Source organism: Homo sapiens, chromosome 5 (assembly GCF_000001405.40).
Source record: "Homo sapiens chromosome 5, GRCh38.p14 Primary Assembly".
Classification (NCBI taxonomy): Eukaryota; Metazoa; Chordata; class Mammalia; order Primates; family Hominidae; genus Homo; species Homo sapiens.
Window position 1 is genome coordinate 41,225,628 of NC_000005.10, and position 18,371 is coordinate 41,243,998.

An 18,371-nucleotide genomic window follows, 5' to 3' on the forward strand; every position below is an offset into this window, starting at 1 on the left:
CTGAGGAATCACCACACTGACTTCCACAATGGTTGAGCTAGTTTACAGTCCCACCAACAGTGTAAAAGTGTTCCTGTTTCTCCACATCCTCTCCCAAAACAGCATGGTACTGGTACCAAAACAGAGATATAGACCAATGGAACAGAACAGAGCCCTCAGAAATAATGCCACATATCTACAACTATCTGATCTTTGACAAACCTGACAAAAACAAGCAATGGGGAAAGGATTCCCTATTTAATAAATGGTGCTGGGAAAACTGACTAGCCATATGTAGAAAGCTGAAAGTGGATCCCTTCCTTACACCTTATACAAAAATTAATTCAAGATGGATTAAATACTTAAATGTTAGACCTAAAACCATAAAAACCCTAGAAGAAAACCTAGGTGATACCATTCAGGACATAGGCATGGACAAGGACTTCATGTCTAAAACACCAAAAGCAATGGCAACAAAAGCCAAAATTGACAAATGGGATCTAATTAAACTAAAGAGCTTCTGCACAGCAAAAGAAACCATCATCAGAGTCAACAGGCAACCTACAGAATGGGAGGAAATTTTTGCAATCTACTCATCTGACAAAGGGCTAATAACCAGAATCTACAATGAACTCAAACAAATTTACAAGACAAAAACAAACAACCCCATTAAAAAGTGGGCGAAGGATATGAACAGACACTTCTCAAAAGAAGACATTTATGCAGCCAGAAGACACATGGAAAAATGCTCATCATCACTGGCCATCAGAGAAATGCAAATCAAAACCACAATGAGATACCATCTCACACCAGTTAGAATGGCGATCATTAAAAAGTCAGGAAACAACAGGTGCTGGAGAAGGTGTGGAGAAATAGCAGTTTTCAACTGTAGAGTACATTGTGATTAACTATAGTCTCCATGCTATACAGTAGATCTCCTGAACTTGTTCCTCCTGTCTAACTGAAATTTTATGTCTCATGAACAACATCTCCCCCATTCCTATCACCTCCCTCCTGCGGCCCCTGCTAACCACCATTCTAGTTGCTGCTTCTGCGGGTTCTACTTTTTTAGATTCCCCACATAAGTGAGATCACACAATGTTTGTCTTTCTTTGCATGTCTTATTTTATTTAGTGTAGTGTCCTCCAGGTTCATCCATGTTGCCTCAAAAGATGGGATTTCCTCATGTTTTAAGGCTAAATAGTATTCATTTTTGTATATACACCACATTTTCTTTATCCATTCATCTGTCGATGGACACTTAGGTTGATTCCATATCTTGGTTATTGTAAATAATGCCACAGTGAACATAAGAGTACAGATATCTCTTTGACATACTAATTTTATTTCCTTTGGATGTATACTCAATAAAGAGAATGCTGGATCATATGGATTTCTATTTTTAATCCTTTGAAGAACCTCCATACTGTTTTCTATAATGTCTGTACAAATTAATATTCCTACCAACAGTGTGTAAGAGTTTTCTTTCCTCCACATTCTCATCAAAACTTGTCATCTTTTATCTTTTTGGTAATAGTCAATTTAACAGGTGTGTGGTGATACCTCATGATGATTTTAATTTGTATTTCCCTAATGATTAGTGATGTTGGGCAGTTTTTCAAATTCCTGTTGGTCATTTGTATGTCTTCTTTTGAGAAATGTCTGTTCAGATCTTTTGCCCATTTTTTAATTGTTTTTTTTTCTAGCTATTGGATTGTTTGAGGTTTTTAATACATTTTGCATATAAACTCTTCATCAGACGTATGGTGTGAAAATACTTTCTCCTATTCCGTAGGTTGTCTGTTCACTCTATTGATTGTTATCTTGACTGTGCAGGAGATTTATAGTTGGATGTAATCTCATTTACCTATCTTTGCTTTTGTTGCCTGTGCTTTTGGGGTCACATCCAAAAAAATCATTGCCCAGACCAGTGTCATGGAACTTACCCCATGATTTCTTCCGGTAGTTTTATAGTTTCAGAGTTTTCTTCCAATAGTTTCAAATCTTATGTGTCTTTGATAACTTTTCAGTTGATTTTTGTATACAATGTGAGATAAGGGTCTAATTTATTTCTTTTTATGTGGATATCCATCTTTTCCAACACTACTTATTTAAGAGACTGTCCTTCCCCATTGTGTGATCTTGGCATCTTTGTGAAAATCAATTGACCTCAAATATGTGGATTTATTTCTAGGTTCTCTATTTTGTCCTATTGGTCTATGGGTTTGTTTTTATGCTTGTGCCATTCTGTTTGAAATACTATTACTTTGTAGTGTATTTTGAGGTCAGGTAGTGTGATGCCTCCAGCTTTGCTCTTTTGGCTAAAGATTACTTTGCTATTTGAGGCATTTTTGGTTCCTTACAAGTTTTAGGATTTGTTTTTCTGTTTTCTGTGAAGAATGCCATTATGATTTTAATACAGATTGCATTGAATCTGTAGATCGATTTTGGTAGTATGGACATTTTAACAATATTAATTCTTCCAATTTATAACATGGGATATCTTTCCATTTACTTGTGTCTGCTTCCATTTTTTTCAGCATTAATATATAGTTTTCAGTATACAGCTCTTTTACCTCCTTGTTTAACTTCATTCCTTTATTTTTGTGGTAGCTTTTGTAAATGGGATTATTTTCTTGATTTCTTTTTTGGATATTTGTCATTGGTGTATGGAAATACTATGATATTTTAAATGTTGATTTCATATCCTGCCACTTTACCAAATTTGTTTATTGGTTCTAATAATATTTTAAGTGCAGTCTTTAGGGTTTTCTACATATAAGATTGTGTTATCTGCAAGCAGAGACAGTTTACCTTCCTTTCCCATTTGGATATCTTATTTCTTTCTCTTGCTTAATTGCTCTGGCTAAGACTTCCAGTACTACACTGAATAGAAGAAGAAAGTGGGCATTTCTGTCTTATTCCTAATTGTTGAGAAAAAGCTTTCAATCTTTCACTGTTGAGTATGATTTTAGCTGTGGGTTTGTCACATATGGTCTTTACTGTGTTGAGGTACATTCTTTATATGCCTAATTCATTGACACTTTTTTATCATGAAAAGATGTTAAATTTTGACAAATGTTTTTTCTGCATCTATTGAGATGATAATATGGTTTTTGTTTTTCCTTATGTTAATGTACATTTATTGTACATTTATTAACTTCCATATGGTAAATCATCCTTGCATCCCATGGATAATTCCCACTTGATCATGGTGAATGATTGTTTAAACATACTGTTGAATTCAGTTTGCAGGTATTTTATGGAAGGCTTTTGCACCTATGTTCCACAGGAATATTGACCTGTAGTTTTCTTTTCTTGTTGTGTCTTTGTCTGATTTTGCACTTAGGCTAATGCTTACATTGTAGAATGAGTCAGGGAGAATTCCTAGCTATTTATTTGGGAGGCTGAGGCAGAAGAATCACTTGAACCCGGGAGACGGAGGTTGCAGTGAGCCAAGATAGTGCCACTGCACTCCAGCTTGGGCGACAGAGCACGACTCCATCAAAAAGAAAAAGAAAATCAACTCTTAATTTTATTGATCATGTTAATTTTTTTTCTATTTTCTATTTCATTTATTTCTCCTCTGATATTTGTTATTTTCTTTCTTCTGCTAAGTTTGAGTTTAGTTTTTCTTTTTCTTGTTTCTTGAGGTGGAGTTTGTTTATGTGTGATCCTTCTTTTTGTTTTAATGTAGGTGTTTATCTCTATAAACTTCATTCAGAACTTTTTTTTTTTTTGCTGCATCCATAAGTTTCAGTAAGTTATGTTACCACTCTCATTGTGTCAATATATTTTTAGCTTTTCTTTTTGATTTCTTCTTTGACCTGTCAGTTGTTCAGAACTGTGTTTAATTTACACATATTTATAAATTTTCAAATTTTCCTCCTGTTATTGATTTCTAGTTTCATATTATTGTGATCAGAAAAGATGGTGCAATTTGATTTCAGTCTTTTTTGATGTGGTAAGACTTTTTTTTGTGGCCTAACATGTGATCTATTCTCAGTAACGTTCAGTGTGTGCTTTAGAAGACTGTGTATTTTGTTGCTGTTGGATGGAATGTTTTGTATATGCCTTTAAGGTCCATTTAATCTGTAGTGTTATTCAAATCTTCGGCTTCCTTATTGATTTTCTATCTGTATAATGTAGTTACTGTTAACAGTGGGGTATTAAAGTTCAATACTATTGTTTTATTGCAGTTTATTCTTTCAGTTCTGTTAATATTTGCTTGATATATTTTGGTGCTCAATGTTCTTTTGTTGTGGGAAGTCAGGGACCCCAAACAGAGGGACCAGCTGGAGCCGAGGCAGAAGAATATAAATTGTGAAGGTTTCATGGACTTTCATCAGTTCCCAAAATTAATACTTTTCTAATTTCTTATGTCTGTCTTTACCGCAATCGCTGAACATAAATTGTGAAGATTTCATGGACATTTATCACTTCCCTAATAATACTCTTATAATTTCTTATGTCTGTCTTTACTTTAATCTCATAATCACGTTATCTTTGTAAGCTGAGAATGTACGTCATCTCAGGACCACTATTGTAAAAATTGATTGTAAAACATATATGTTTGAACAATATGAAATCAGTGCACCTTGAAAAGAACAGCATAACAGGGAAGATAACCATAAGGTCTGACTGACTGGGGGGTTGGGCAGAATAGAGCCATATTTTTCTTCTTGCAGAGAGCCTATAAACAGACGTGCAAGTAGGAGAGATATCAGTGAATTCTTTTCCCAGCAAGGAATATTAATAATTAATACCCTGGGGAAGGATTGCATTCCTGGGGGGAGGTCTATAATTGGCCACTCTGGGAGTGTCTGTCTTAAGTGGTTGAGATAAGGACTGAAAAAGCCCTGGTCTCCTGTAGCACCCTCAGGCTTACTAGGATTGGGAATTCCAGCCTGGTAAATTCTAGTCAGACTGGTTCTCTGCTCTTGAACTCTGTTTCTTGTTAAGATGTTTATCAAGACAATGTGTGCACAGCAGGACATAGACCCTCATCAGTAATTCTAATTTTGCCTTTGCCTTTGTGATCTTTATTGCCCTTTGAAGCATATGATCCTTGTGACCTACTCTCTGTTCGTACACCCCCTCCCCTTTTAAAATCCCTAATAAAAACGTGCTGGTTTTGCAGCTTGGGGTCGTCATCACAGTCCTACCAATATGTGATGTCACCCTGGAGGCCCAGCTGTAAAATTCCTCTCTTTGTATGCTTTCTCTTTATTTCTCAGACTGGCTGACACTTAGAGAAAATAGAAAAGAACCTACATTGAAATATTGGGGGCTGGTTCCCCTAATATTCTTTCCATATATAGTTTCTATTGTTATATCTTTTTGATGGATTAACCACTTTATCATACAATAAATTCTATTTAGTCTCATCTAAGTATAGCCATTCCTGCTCTCTTTTGTTTACTATTTGCATGGAGTATCTTTTTCTATTCTTTCACTTTCAATCTATGTGCATCTTTAAAGCTAAAGTGACTCTCTTGTAGACAGCCTACAGTTGGATCTTGTTTTCTTAAAATACATTTATTTTTTATCCACTTAGCTACTCTTTTAATTGGAGAATTTAATCCATTTGTGTTTAATTATTGAAAGATAAGGATTTACTTGTTTCATTTTTAAAATTGCTTCTTATTTTGTAGGGTTTTTTGTTTCATTCTTTCTCTTACTGTCTTACTTTGAGATATTTATGATTTTTTATGGTGACATGTTTCATTTCTTTTTAATGTACATACTATATGGCTTTGCTTTATGGTTACCATGAAGCTCACAGAATTCATCTTAACAGTTACAGTTAAAGTTACAGAATTCATCTTACAGTTAAAACCAGTCCATTTTTAACTGATGACAGCTTAACTTTGTTCACATACAAAAACTACACTTTTGCTTCTTCCATTATCGTGTAATCATAATACATGTAATATCTAAGCTAATATGCTGTTACAACCATCTAGTTTGTTTTTAATAGGTTATAGTTTTCATTTTGGGGTTTGTTTTATCTTTTTAAAAATAAATTCTGATCCTCTGGTAAAATTCTCCATTTTGACATTTATTTTTTTAAAGTACTAATTAGACTTATTTTAAAGTAAGTGGTGTGCCTATGATTCTGTTTCTAACATGTTATTCCCCTCTTGTTTGACATTTGGTTCTGTGTCCTGTCTTGCCTGGTAATTTTTTAAAAATGATAGACACTGTGTGTGAAAAAATCACATGTTCCTAATTAATAATTTTCTTTAATATAAGAATTTCTTTAATATACTTTCTTTAATACAGTTTTTTTTTTCTGGCACAGTTAGAGTAGTGACAAATAATACTGCTTTACTCAGTGATTGGGATAATTTGTGCTGAAGTTTAGTGTCTGTGGAGATGACTATATCTGTTTTTTCTGTCTTCTTCAGGTTTTACCTTTTAAGAATCTCAAAAGTTTGTTGTTCTTGTTAGGACTCCTAATTCATAGCTGTCTTTGTTGTATCCCTGTAACTATGAGATTTTCAAAAATTCTTCTTAGCTTTGTTATATATTGCTTTCTGCTTTGTTTCTTAACCCTTCAGGAATGAGGAAATATTTGAACATAAAAAGCTGAAACAAATACTGAGTTTACTTCTTTGTATGTTTCCCCCTCTGCGTATCCCTTGAGTTGTGGCCGTCTTAGTAGCCCTTACTCACTTCTGTTTCCTACTACACTACTCTGAGATAGTGGAAAGCTCTGATCTGCTGCTCTGTGCTAAATCTTTTGGCCTACTTCAATTATCAGTTAGTAAATCCCTTAAAAGAAAAGTGGCAGAGAATTTGTCTTAACCACATGGATTTTTCTTTCTCTGGTTTCTTGATCAGTAAAGTATATTTTGCCTTGGATATTCTCTTTTTAATTTTAGCTTTTATGGTTGCTTTTGCTAGGAAGCTTGTTAGTACTAATAAGTATCCTGTCAGTCAGAATCAGAAGTCATACGAGGTTGTTTTTTAAAAAGCAGGTATGCATTGTTTCTGATTAGTAAAGTTATGTGTGTTTTCTTAGGCATTTGGAAATACAGAAAAGTAAAAAAAATTTTAAGTCATTCATGATCTTTTTTGCTTCATTACCCTCTCTTGATTAATTCCTGATTATTTTTCTGTTTTCAGTCTCAATTAACTTCCTCAGAGTCAAATCAACTCTCATATTAATTAGATGCTATTCATAGCACCTTATTTTTTGTTCTTTTTTCTCATATTGTGTTGTCATGTTTCTTTTTGTGTTTATTTTATTAGCATTTATATCTCTCATTACATTATTAGTTTTACTGTGACAAGGACCATGTCTACTCTTTCTGTAAACCCAGTATCTATTACAGCCTTAAATACAGCAGATATTTTATATTTATAGAATCTGCTGCACTAGCATTATTTCTGCTTTGTATGCATATATTTTCAATTAATATTCTATTATGTATATAATTTTCATGTGTATTACTGTATTTTCTGTATTTAAAAATTAATTTGACAACATATTATAAACATTTATTCATATAAAGTTTTGTTTCTAATATCAGCTCAGTCACCAATTATTTGATCTTGGAAATTTTAATTAACATTTTTAGCAGTCAGTTTTCTTATCTGTAAAATAGGGAAATGATAACTGCTCTAACTACTCATTCTGGTCATTATCAAAAGTAAATGAGACCACTGATCTTCATGGATCTTGTGGCACAAAAGATATGGGATATGAAATGGATAAACAATAATGTCTTAAACTATTGTTACCATTGTTTCTTGATGGATATTCTACAAAAAGTGTAAATGGGCTATATGATGTAAAATCTATGTTCACTTTAGAACTCTAAGGAAGGCATAATTCTTTTTCACTATAGATGGAGAAGCTCTTCACATATAGAATATTTACAAGATGGCAAAGGGAAGACTGTCAGGAGCAATTGTGTAACAAAACAAAATAAAGCTAAAACGAGATGCAGCTATTCTCATTACAGCAAAGTAGGCAATAAGATTTTTGTAGAGCACTTTGGAAGGAGGCAGACACATTTGTAGATTTGTAATAAGCACTGAGTTGCTCCAATTTAGTGCATGAACAAAAAAATAATTGTAGTTATTAATAAGAGCTGAGAATAAAAAAGACCTATCTAATCTTAGAAGATTTGAAAGAAGAACACTGAGACAAACAGCAAAATCCAAATGAGACCTGATCATTTGCTCTAGCCACGTTAAGTTATTGGCAGGTTATATGAGAACTCCATCTATCTCTATATTTACAGTTTATTTAGTTCTTTTATAAAAGTTTTTATTATTTTCTTTTGGTCATAATAAATATATGACAGCATTAATAGTATCAAATATCGCTTAAATGATTTCCACAAATATTTCTGTTTCCATAGTAAATCTCTAATATTAAAATAAAAACCTTCAAAGTATTGCTATATATGATACATAGATGAGTGAACTTTGCTTAACCATAGTCAAGGTTTTGGTAAGCCAGAATTTACAAAACAAATTATATAATATTACCTACAGAATTCTTTCCCACAGGGGTCATTCTTTCCAGGTGGATCTCACATTACTACTTTTGAAGGAGAAAAGTAGAAAACACTATGTAATTGCAATGTATCAATATCAATAACTTCCAGGTGAAGTAAATTCCTCGTAACAATGATAGAAATTCCACTTTCCAATAATGTTCATGGGAAAATCCTAGAATATTCCAGTGTGGGATACTTTGTTATTCTACCCTTTCGTTTTTTTTTTTGTTTTTTGTTTTTTGTTTTTTTTTTTTGCTTGGAAGATGTTGCATAACTTAGGGAATGGAAATCATTTTGCCAGATAATTTGGCAATAAATATATTTCCCACATGCTTGGTCTTGTAAATCCTATCTGGCAAAGTAGCCATTTAATCAATAGAGTAAGAAAACAGAGATTTAATCTAGAAAGTGATTGAATTAGCACTGAGTGTAGAAGCTGGACAAAAGTGGAAATATCATTGCTCTGTAGTTTCTCCAATTTTATAAATGATTACTAATGACTAATGAACCAATTGCCTAGTTCCTCTGCACAGTTTGGGAAAACAGAAGAGCAGAAAACCCTCTGCCTTGAGATTGCTGTACTGTGGTGACTACAAGGGAATACAATTAGTCATGTTCACTAGTAACTTGTTAAATCAGCTTTATAATCATGAGAAACTAAGAAAGTTATGAGGAGCCAATAATGCCAAGGTGATAAAATATGAAGGCACATTTGTAAATGTGAATTACTCAGAATACAAGGTAGATAATTTATTGTTGCCTGTTGCTATAATAATTCCTTACTAATGAGACTTTATTAATTTGTAGTTTGAGATGATTTGGAATCTTGGCTGAGATTTGTCCTTCTATTCACTGTGAAGATGAGATTTGGAAAGCAAGTTAGCAGCCAAAAATGAGGATAATATTTTTGAAAGTCCAAGTCCTACATTCTCATTCTTTTTTTTTTTTTTTAATGTTTTTTTTTTTATTATACTTTAAGTTTTAGGGTACATGTGCACATTGTGCAGGTTAGTTACATATGCATACATGTGCCATGCTGGTGCGCTGCACCCACTAACGTGTCATCTAGCATTAGGTATATCTCCCAATGCTATCCCTCCCCCCTCCCCCGACCCCACCACAGTCCCCAGAGTGTGATATTCCCCTTCCTGTGTCCATGTGATCTCATTGTTCAATTCCCACCTATGCGTGAGAATATGCGGTGTTTGGTTTTTTGTTCTTGCGATAGTTTACTGAGAATGATGGTTTCCAATTTCATCCATGTCCCTACAAAGGACATGAACTCATCAATTTTTATGGCTGCATAGTATTCCATGGTGTATATGTGCCACATTTTCTTAATCCAGTCTATCATTGTTGGACATTTGGGTTGGTTCCAAGTCTTTGCTATTGTGAATAATGCTGCAATAAACATACGTGTGCATGTGTCTTTATAGCAGCATGATTTATAGTCCTTTGGGTATATACTCAGTAATGGGATGGCTGGGTCAAATGGTATTTCTAGTTCTAGATCCCTGAGGAATCGCCACACTGACTTCCACAATGGTTGAACTAGTTGACAGTCCCACCAACAGTGTAAAAGTGTTCCTATTTCTCCACATCCTCTCCAGCACCTGTTGTTTCCTGACTTTTTAATGATTGCCATTCTAACTGGTGTGAGATGATATCTCATAGTGGTTTTGATTTGCATTTCTCTGATGGCCAGTGATGATGAGCATTTTTTCATGTGTTTTTTGGCTGCATAAATGTCTTCTTTTGAGAAGTGTCTGTTCATGTCCTTCGCCCACTTTTTGATGGGGTTGTTTGTTTTTTTCTTGTAAATTTGTTTGAGTTCATTGTAGATTCTGGATATTAGCCCTTTGTCAGATGAGTAGGTTGCGAAAATTTTCTCCCATGTTGTAGGTTGCCTGTTCACTCTGATGGTAGTTTCTTTTGCTGTGCAGAAGCTCTTTAGTTTAATTAGATCCCATTTGTCAATTTTGGCTTTTGTTGCCATTGCTTTTGGTGATTTGGACATGAAGTCCTTGCCCACGCCTATGTCCTGAATGGTAATGCCTAGGTTTTCTTCTAGGGTTTTTATGGTTTTAGGTCTAACGTTTAAATCTTTAATCCATCTTGAATTGATTTTTGTATAAGGTGTAAGGAAGGGATCCAGTTTCAGCTTTCTACATATGGCTAGCCAGTTTTCCCAGCACCATTTATTAAATAGGGAATCCTTTCCCCATTGCTTGTTTTTCTCAGGTTTGTCAAAGATCAGATAGTTGTAGATATGCGGCATTATTTCTCAGGATTAAGAATCTCACTCAAAGCCGCTCAACTACATGGAAACTGAACAACCTGCTCCTGAATGACTACTGGGTACATAACGAAATGAAGGCAGAAATAAAGATGTTCTTTGAAACCAACGAGAACAAAGACACCACATACCAGAATCTCTGGGACGCATTCAAAGCAGTGTGTAGAGGGAAATTTATAGCACTAAGTGCCTACAAGAGAAAGCAGGAAAGATCCAAAATTGACACCCTAACATCTCAATTAAAAGAACTAGAAAAGCAAGAGCAAACACATTCAAAAGCTAGCAGAAGGCAAGAAATAACTAAAATCAGAGCAGAACTGAAGGAAATAGAGACACAAAAAATCCTTCAAAAAATCAATGAATCCAGGAGCTGGTTTTTTGAAAGGATCAACAAAATTGATAGACCGCTAGCAAGACTAATAAAGAAAAAAAGAGAGAAGAATCAAATAGACACAATAAAAAATGATAAAGGGGATATCACCACCAATCCCACAGAAATACAAACTACCATCAGAGAATACTACAAACACCTCTATGCAAATAAACTAGAAAATCTAGAAGAAGTGGATACATTCCTCGACACATACACTCTCCCAAGACTAAACCAGGAAGAAGTTGAATATCTGAATAGACCAATAACAGGCTCTGAAATTGTGGCAATAATCAATAGTTTACCAACCAAAAAGAGTCCATGACCAGATGGATTCACAGCCGAATTCTACCAGAGGTACAAGGAGGAACTGGTACCATTCCTTCTGAAACTTTTCTAATCAATAGAAAAAGAGGGAATCCTCCCTAACTCATTTTATGAGGCCAGCATCATTCTGATACCAAAGCCGGGCAGAGACACAACCAAAAAAGAGAATTTTAGACCAATATCCTTGATGAACATTGATGCAAAAATCCTCAATAAAATACTGGCAAACCGAATCCAGCAGCACATCAAAAAGCTTATCCACCATGATCAAGTGGGCTTCATCCCTGGGATGCAAGGCTGGTTCAATATACGCAAATCAATAAATGTAATCCAGCATATAAACAGAGCCAAAGACAAAAACCACATGATTATCTCAATAGATGCAGAAAAAGCCTTTGACAAAATTCAACAACCCTTCAGGCTAAAAACTCTCAATAAATTAGGTATTGATGGGACGTATTTCAAAATAATAAGAGCTATCTATGACAAACCCACAGCCAATATCATACTGAATGGGCAAAAACTGGAAGCATTCCCTTTGAAAACTGGCACAAGACAGGGATGCCCTCTCTCACCGCTCCTATTAAACATAGTGTTGGAAGTTCTGGCCAGGGCAATCAGGCAGGAGAAGGAAATAAAGGGTATTCAATTAGGAAAAGAGGAAGTCAAATTGTCCCTGTTTGCAGACGACATGATTGTTTATCTAGAAAACCCCATTGTCTCAGCCCAAAGTCTCCTTAAGCTGATAAGCAACTTCAGCAAAGTCTCAGGATACAAAATCAATGTACAAAAATCACAAGCATTCTTATACACCAACAACAGACAAACAGAGAGCCAAATCATGAGTGAACTCCCATTCACAATTGCTTCAAAGAGAATAAAATACCTAGGAATCCAACTTACAAGGGATGTGAAGGACCTCTTCAAGGAGAACTACAAACCACTGCTCAAGGAAATAAAAGAGGACACAAACAAATGGAAGAACATTCCATGCTCATGGGTAGGAAGAATCAATATCGTGAAAATGGCCATACTGCCCAAGGTAATTTACAGATTCAATGCCATCCCCATCAAGCTACCAATGACTTTCTTCACAGAATTCGAAAAAACTACTTTAAAGTTCATATGGAACCAAAAAAGAGCCCGCATCGCCAAGTCAATCCTAAGCCAAAAGAACAAAGCTGGAGGCATCACACTACCTGACTTCAAACTATACTACAAGGCTACAGTAACCAAAACAGCATGGTACTGGTACCAAAACAGAGATATAGATCAATGGAACAGAACAGAGCCTTCAGAAATAATGCCACATATCTCATTCTTTATTAATAAATAATAAATGGCATTATTGCCTTCTTTTAACCCAGGCGAAGAGGAGAATATGGGGCAAGTCTATTCACACCAGAAGCGAAAGTAATAAAACCCTTAGACCACTGGAGAAAAGAGGAAGAGAAGAGACAAAGGGTTCAGGAAGTGATGGAGAAGAGGTGAGACATGACCAGTGTTGTGCTGACAAATGATTAACACTTGCAGCATTTGATAATTTTTATGGTGTAATATCTGACATCATGAATAATTTCAAGTTACCAGCCTGATGTCATTGAAAGTAGAATTAGAAAGATAAAATATACACAAATAACCTGAAGGGCATAGATATTAGTAAAACCTATTTTGTTAGTAAAAATTGGTAAAAATGTATTAAAATTATTAGAATATGGTGAATTAGAGTTTTTATTACTTTTGTTTTTAATATAATTAATTTAAATTGGGTTCATAAAATTTAATTTAAAATAACTTACGTGTTTAACAGCAGGCTAATAACATTCCTAAAAATCTAAAAGTCAACTTCTTTGAATTTTTGTTGATACATAATGTTTGTACATACTTATGGGGTAAATGTAACATTTTGTTACATGCATAGAATGCATAATTATCAAGTCAGGGTATTTTGGGTATTCATCATCTGGCACATTTATAATTTCTTTTCTTTTCTTTCTTTTTTTTTTTTTTTTTTGAGACGGATTCTTGCTCTGTCGCCCAGGCTGGAGTGCAAATGGCATGTTCTTGGTTCACTGCACCTCCACCTCCCAGGTTCAAGTGATTCTTCTGTCTCAGCCTCCCCATGAGCTGGGGTTACAGGCCCGTGCCACCACGCCCAGCTAATTTTTGTAGTTTTAGTAGAGATGGGATTTTGCCATGTTGGCCATCCTGGTCTCGAACTCCTGACCTCAAGTGATCCACCTGCCTCGGCCTCCCAAAGTGCTGGGGTTACAGGGGTGAGTCACTGTGCCTGGCTGAGCATTTATCATTTCTATGTGTTGGGAATGTTTCAAGTCATCTCCTCTAGCTATTCTGAAATACACAATACATTGTTGTTAACTATAGTCACCCTACTATACACTATATATAGTATATAGTCACCCTACTATACTATCAAACATTAGAACTTACTCTAACTGTATGTTTATACCCATTTTCCCCATCCCCCACCCCTCAAAACACCTCCACACCTTTCTGAGCCTCTAGTACCTATCATTATTTTATGTCTCTCTATAAGTTTAATGATTTTTAGATCCCACATATCAGTAAGTTTTATTGTTCTGTGTTTTGATAATAGCAGATATCTTCCTTTCACTTCTGGGTGTTGGACTCCCTGAAGCATATCTTTCAGGTCTGGTTTAGTGGTGATAAATTCCCTCAGTTTTTGCTTGTCTAGGAAAGGCTTTATTTCTCTTTCATTTATGAAAGGTAACTTTGCTGGATATAGTGTCCTTGTCTGGCAATTTTCCTTTCATCACTTTGTATATATCATCCCATTCTCTCCTGGCCTGTAGGGTTTCTGTTGAGAAATCTGCTGTTAGTCTGTGGGGGTTCTCTTATATGTGACTAGACACTTTTCTCTTGATGTTTTTAGAATTCATTTTTTGTCTTTGACTTTTGACAGTTTGACTATAATGTGTTAGGGAGGATCTTTGAGCTTCCTGTATCTGGATTTCTAAATCTCTTGCTAGGCTTGAAAAGGTTTTTAGCTATTATTTTGTTAAACAAGTTTTCTATGCCATGGATCTTCATTGGTCAGGCTGCATTGTTAGTGGAAGCTCTGGTGAGGTTTTGCTGGAAACAGGGACACCAGTCCAGTTTTGTTGCCCCATAGGTGCTATTGGTGGGCCAAGAATGCCTGTTCTTGGACCCCTGAGCAGTGTACACAGCCACTGGTGGTAGCAGGTTTAGGCAGGCCAATTCTTGAGCCTCCAGGTGGCTTTCTTGGGTGCCAGTAGGAGCAGCTGTGGATCAAGCAGATGGGTGAGTCCTTGGGCCGCTGAGCAGCATGCATAGTATGGGCCATGGCAGTAGGGTGGCGGGATAACTCTTGGGCTTTCAGGCAGCATTCTCTGGTATTAATGGTGGCTGTGATGGGCCAGGTGGGCCATTCCCCATACCCTCAGGTGGCACATGTGGATGCTGATGTTGGTGGTGGCAGCAGGCTGGGCTGACCCATCTTCAGGCCCCTGGGAGGACTGCACAGATACCAGCAGTGGTGGACAGGGTGAGGCAATCCTCAGGCTTTCAGGCAGCATGCTTGAGTGCCAGCTGCAGGTTTTCTGGGCTTGTGGTTGGGGCCTCTGGTGGTGCACACATGTGCCCAGAGTGACCGATGGGGTGGGGTGATACCCCAGGTCCCTTAGTGGCTAGATGGGGAATACCAGGTGAGGTGGGCTTCTCTTTAGGTCTCCCCTCCATAGTGTGCATGGGTATAAGGTGTAGTGGGCACAGTAGGGAAGTCCTTAGGTCTCCAAATTGCGTGCTCGGATGACCGGCATTATTGGGCTGTTATTAGAGCCCCTGATGCTATGTGTGTGCACCTGGGGTGACTTACAGGGCAAGACAACTTCCCAGATCTTTGGGCAGCATGCTCGCAGGAGTGGTGGTGGTGCCAGGCCAGGTGTGCCTGTCCTGAGGCCCCCAGTGGCATGCATAGGAATAGGCTGTGGTGGGCAAAGTGGGGCAATTCCCAGGCCCTGGTTGGCATGCCCCAGCAGCAGCAGGCTATCCTCAGCATGTATGCAAGTGTGTGGCAACCTTGCTGCTGGAGGCGGGGTGGGGTTCTGCCAGTGGCAGCCAGTCTAGGTAGGTGGCTCTCAGGCTCTGTGGAGCTCATGCTACAGCTCTCTGGCAGTGATAACAGCAGTGGTAGTGGGTGGGAAGATTCTAACAATAAAATTTTATGAGCTTATATAAGCTGGCGCTAGCACACCACTGGATCTTGGCTTCATTCTCTTTACCAGGGTTGAGCCCCTGGGAGATAGTAAAACATGTCCAAATAAATTTGGAGGAATCAAAAAATATTGTACATTGAACTGTGATTCCCTGGACATAGACTAAAGACTTTACGGGTCATGCAGAGAAACCATGAATTCAGAATGGACCACAAGCAGCATGGTTGGAGAACAAGAAAGCAGCAATGTTGGAGGAAGTGAAAGGATATGGGGTAATATTTCAAATTTCATAAAGCCTACTTGTGGTTTCCACAAGCTCAGTGTGCTATATGGGGTGACAAAAAATTGTGAGAAAATTCATGGAACAGAAGAGACATTAACTAGATGGTATGATAGGAAATGTGGGTTTCAAAGTGGATGCTACTACATATAAAGCTTCAAAAGACCAGATAGCAAGACTGGTTCAATATGGATATTGTTTGAGGATGCTTAGTACTTAGGTAGGACAGAACATTCACAATAGCAGCCAGCACAGTGTGAAAAGACAGCTGGTGGACCAGTGTCCCCATCATTCCTCTTCCATGAGTATTTGGATGAATCTTGAAAAGGAGAAGGTAAAATAAAAAAACCTATAGCAAGACAAAAATAGTCCTAAGAGGGAGCTTAAGTTTGAGCTCATTATATAGTTACCTTGAATAATATTAATTGAAAAGTTTAAGACTTTTTTCCTCATTAATTGGCATAGGAGCAGAAAGGAAAAAAAAACTTGGAGAAAATAAAGTTACATTTTTGGACTATGATATGGTTTGGCTGTGTCCTCCCACCCAAAATCTCATCTTGAATTGTAATCACCATAATCCCCATGTGTCAAGGGTGGGACCAAGGGTAGAGGTAATTGGTTCATGGGGGCGGTTTCCCCCATCGTGTTCTCATGATAGTGAGTGAGTCTCACGAGATCTGATCATCTTATAAGCGTCTGGCATTTTTCCTGCTTGTACTCACTCCATCCTGCTGTCCTGTGAAGAAGGTGCCTGCCTCTCCTTTGCCTTCTGCCATGATTGTAAGTTTCCTGAGGCCTCCCCAGCAATGTGGAACTGTGAGTCAATTAAACCTCTTTCCTTTATAAATTACCCAGTCTTGGGCAGTTCTTTATAGCAGTATGAAAACAGAATAAACAGGGTACATCTGAGTTCTAGCAAAAGTTACATTTTAGAATACATCTGAGTTTTGATTTCTCTGTAGTTAGCACACATTATATGGAGAATGTTTTCTTAATTAAGAAATTGTTTTCAAACATCTTTATATAAATTATGTTTCATTTCAAAATAAATTTCTAGCCAAAATTTTTCTTTCAATTCTCTCATGTTTGCAATAACCTTAGAAATCCCACATTTAGGCTTTCCTGTCACCTCCAGAATGGTACGTCAACAGATGAATGGATTAAAAAAAGTATGTACACTCAATGGAATACTATTGATCCTTAAAAAAGAAGGAAATTCTATCATTTACAACATAAATGGAATTGAAAAACATTATGCTAAATGAAATAAGCCAAGTACAGTAAAAAAAAAAAAAAATACTGTGTGGTTTAACTTACATGTGGAACCTAAAACAATGGAACTCATAGACGCAGAGAGTAGAATGGTGGTTGCAGAGGCTGGGGATGGGAGGAGGAATGGGAAGATAATGGATAAAGTATACAACATCTCAGATGGGAGAACTTTTCTTTTCTTTTGAGTTCTATTGTACAGCTTGGTGAATATAGTGAATAATAGGATATTGTACATTTCAAAATTGCTAAGTGACTAAGTTTCAAATGTTCTCATCACAAAAAAAGTTAACTATTTGAGATGATGACATGTCAACTAGATTGATTAACTAGGTTGATTTAATTATTCCACATTGTATTCATAAATCATAACATCACTTTACCTCCACACATTTATACCATTATAAATTATCTATTAAACATTTTTATTGTGTGATTTTTATGTTGACACTCATATCTCATGATTTGTGAGCACATTTTCTATTATTTTGTGCCATTACAGGCATTTCAAATAATTGTTTACTTAGTGATTTGTTATGTTAAAAAATTTTTATTCTAGGCTCTTTAAACTTGTGTAGTGCTTCATAATAATCCATTAGGCTTTTTGAGCAGAATTTCTTGAATCTAGCTGCTTTACACATTTTTTTTAAAGTTCTTTTTGATTTATAAAGTTTCTTTGGGAACAATGAGACTAGTTACTAAGCTAGACATGACTGTTATTACTTAGTATATCCTTCGCAGAGTGTGGATATAGCAATAGCTGTAGGTGGTCTGTCATATCTCCTTAGCTCTCACTTCTACACACCAAAGCCTACTTAATGAAATCTCTGCTACTCTCTGCCTGAAGGCTTTTTAACAGCCTTGGGGAAACTCTTAGCATATGTAAAAGGCAATCCAGAAATAACAGAGAGTTAATGATGCTAAGTAGCACTCAAACTTGGACAGCTGGGGAGGTGGTAGAAAAATATTCTCACTTTCTCTTTCCTCAGTTGGAGTAACTCTGAGATGTGTTCTACATTGTCTTCTAAATGTGGAATTAAGTCACATTTGCCTACACTAAAAACCAAGGTCATAACACACAATATTGTCTTCATTTCTTTCCCAGTCTTATCACCTT

General features: G+C 36.4%; 1 protein-coding gene across 5 annotated transcripts in view, besides 1 other annotated feature; it reads right to left on the reverse strand.

The window, feature by feature from the left end:
• Positions 1-18,371, reverse strand: part of C6 (complement C6) — a 119,354-nt gene that overhangs the window by 83,512 nt on the left and 17,471 nt on the right. The window lies entirely within an intron of this gene.
• Positions 4,691-5,192: an enhancer, noted in NCBI's record as "NANOG hESC enhancer chr5:41230420-41230921 (GRCh37/hg19 assembly coordinates)". NCBI's record gives its function as "activates a minimal SCP1, AML or CMV promoter by ChIP-STARR-seq in primed H9 embryonic stem cells {active_cell/tissue: H9 hESC(primed)}" and the evidence as "EXISTENCE:reporter gene assay evidence [ECO:0000049][PMID:30033119]".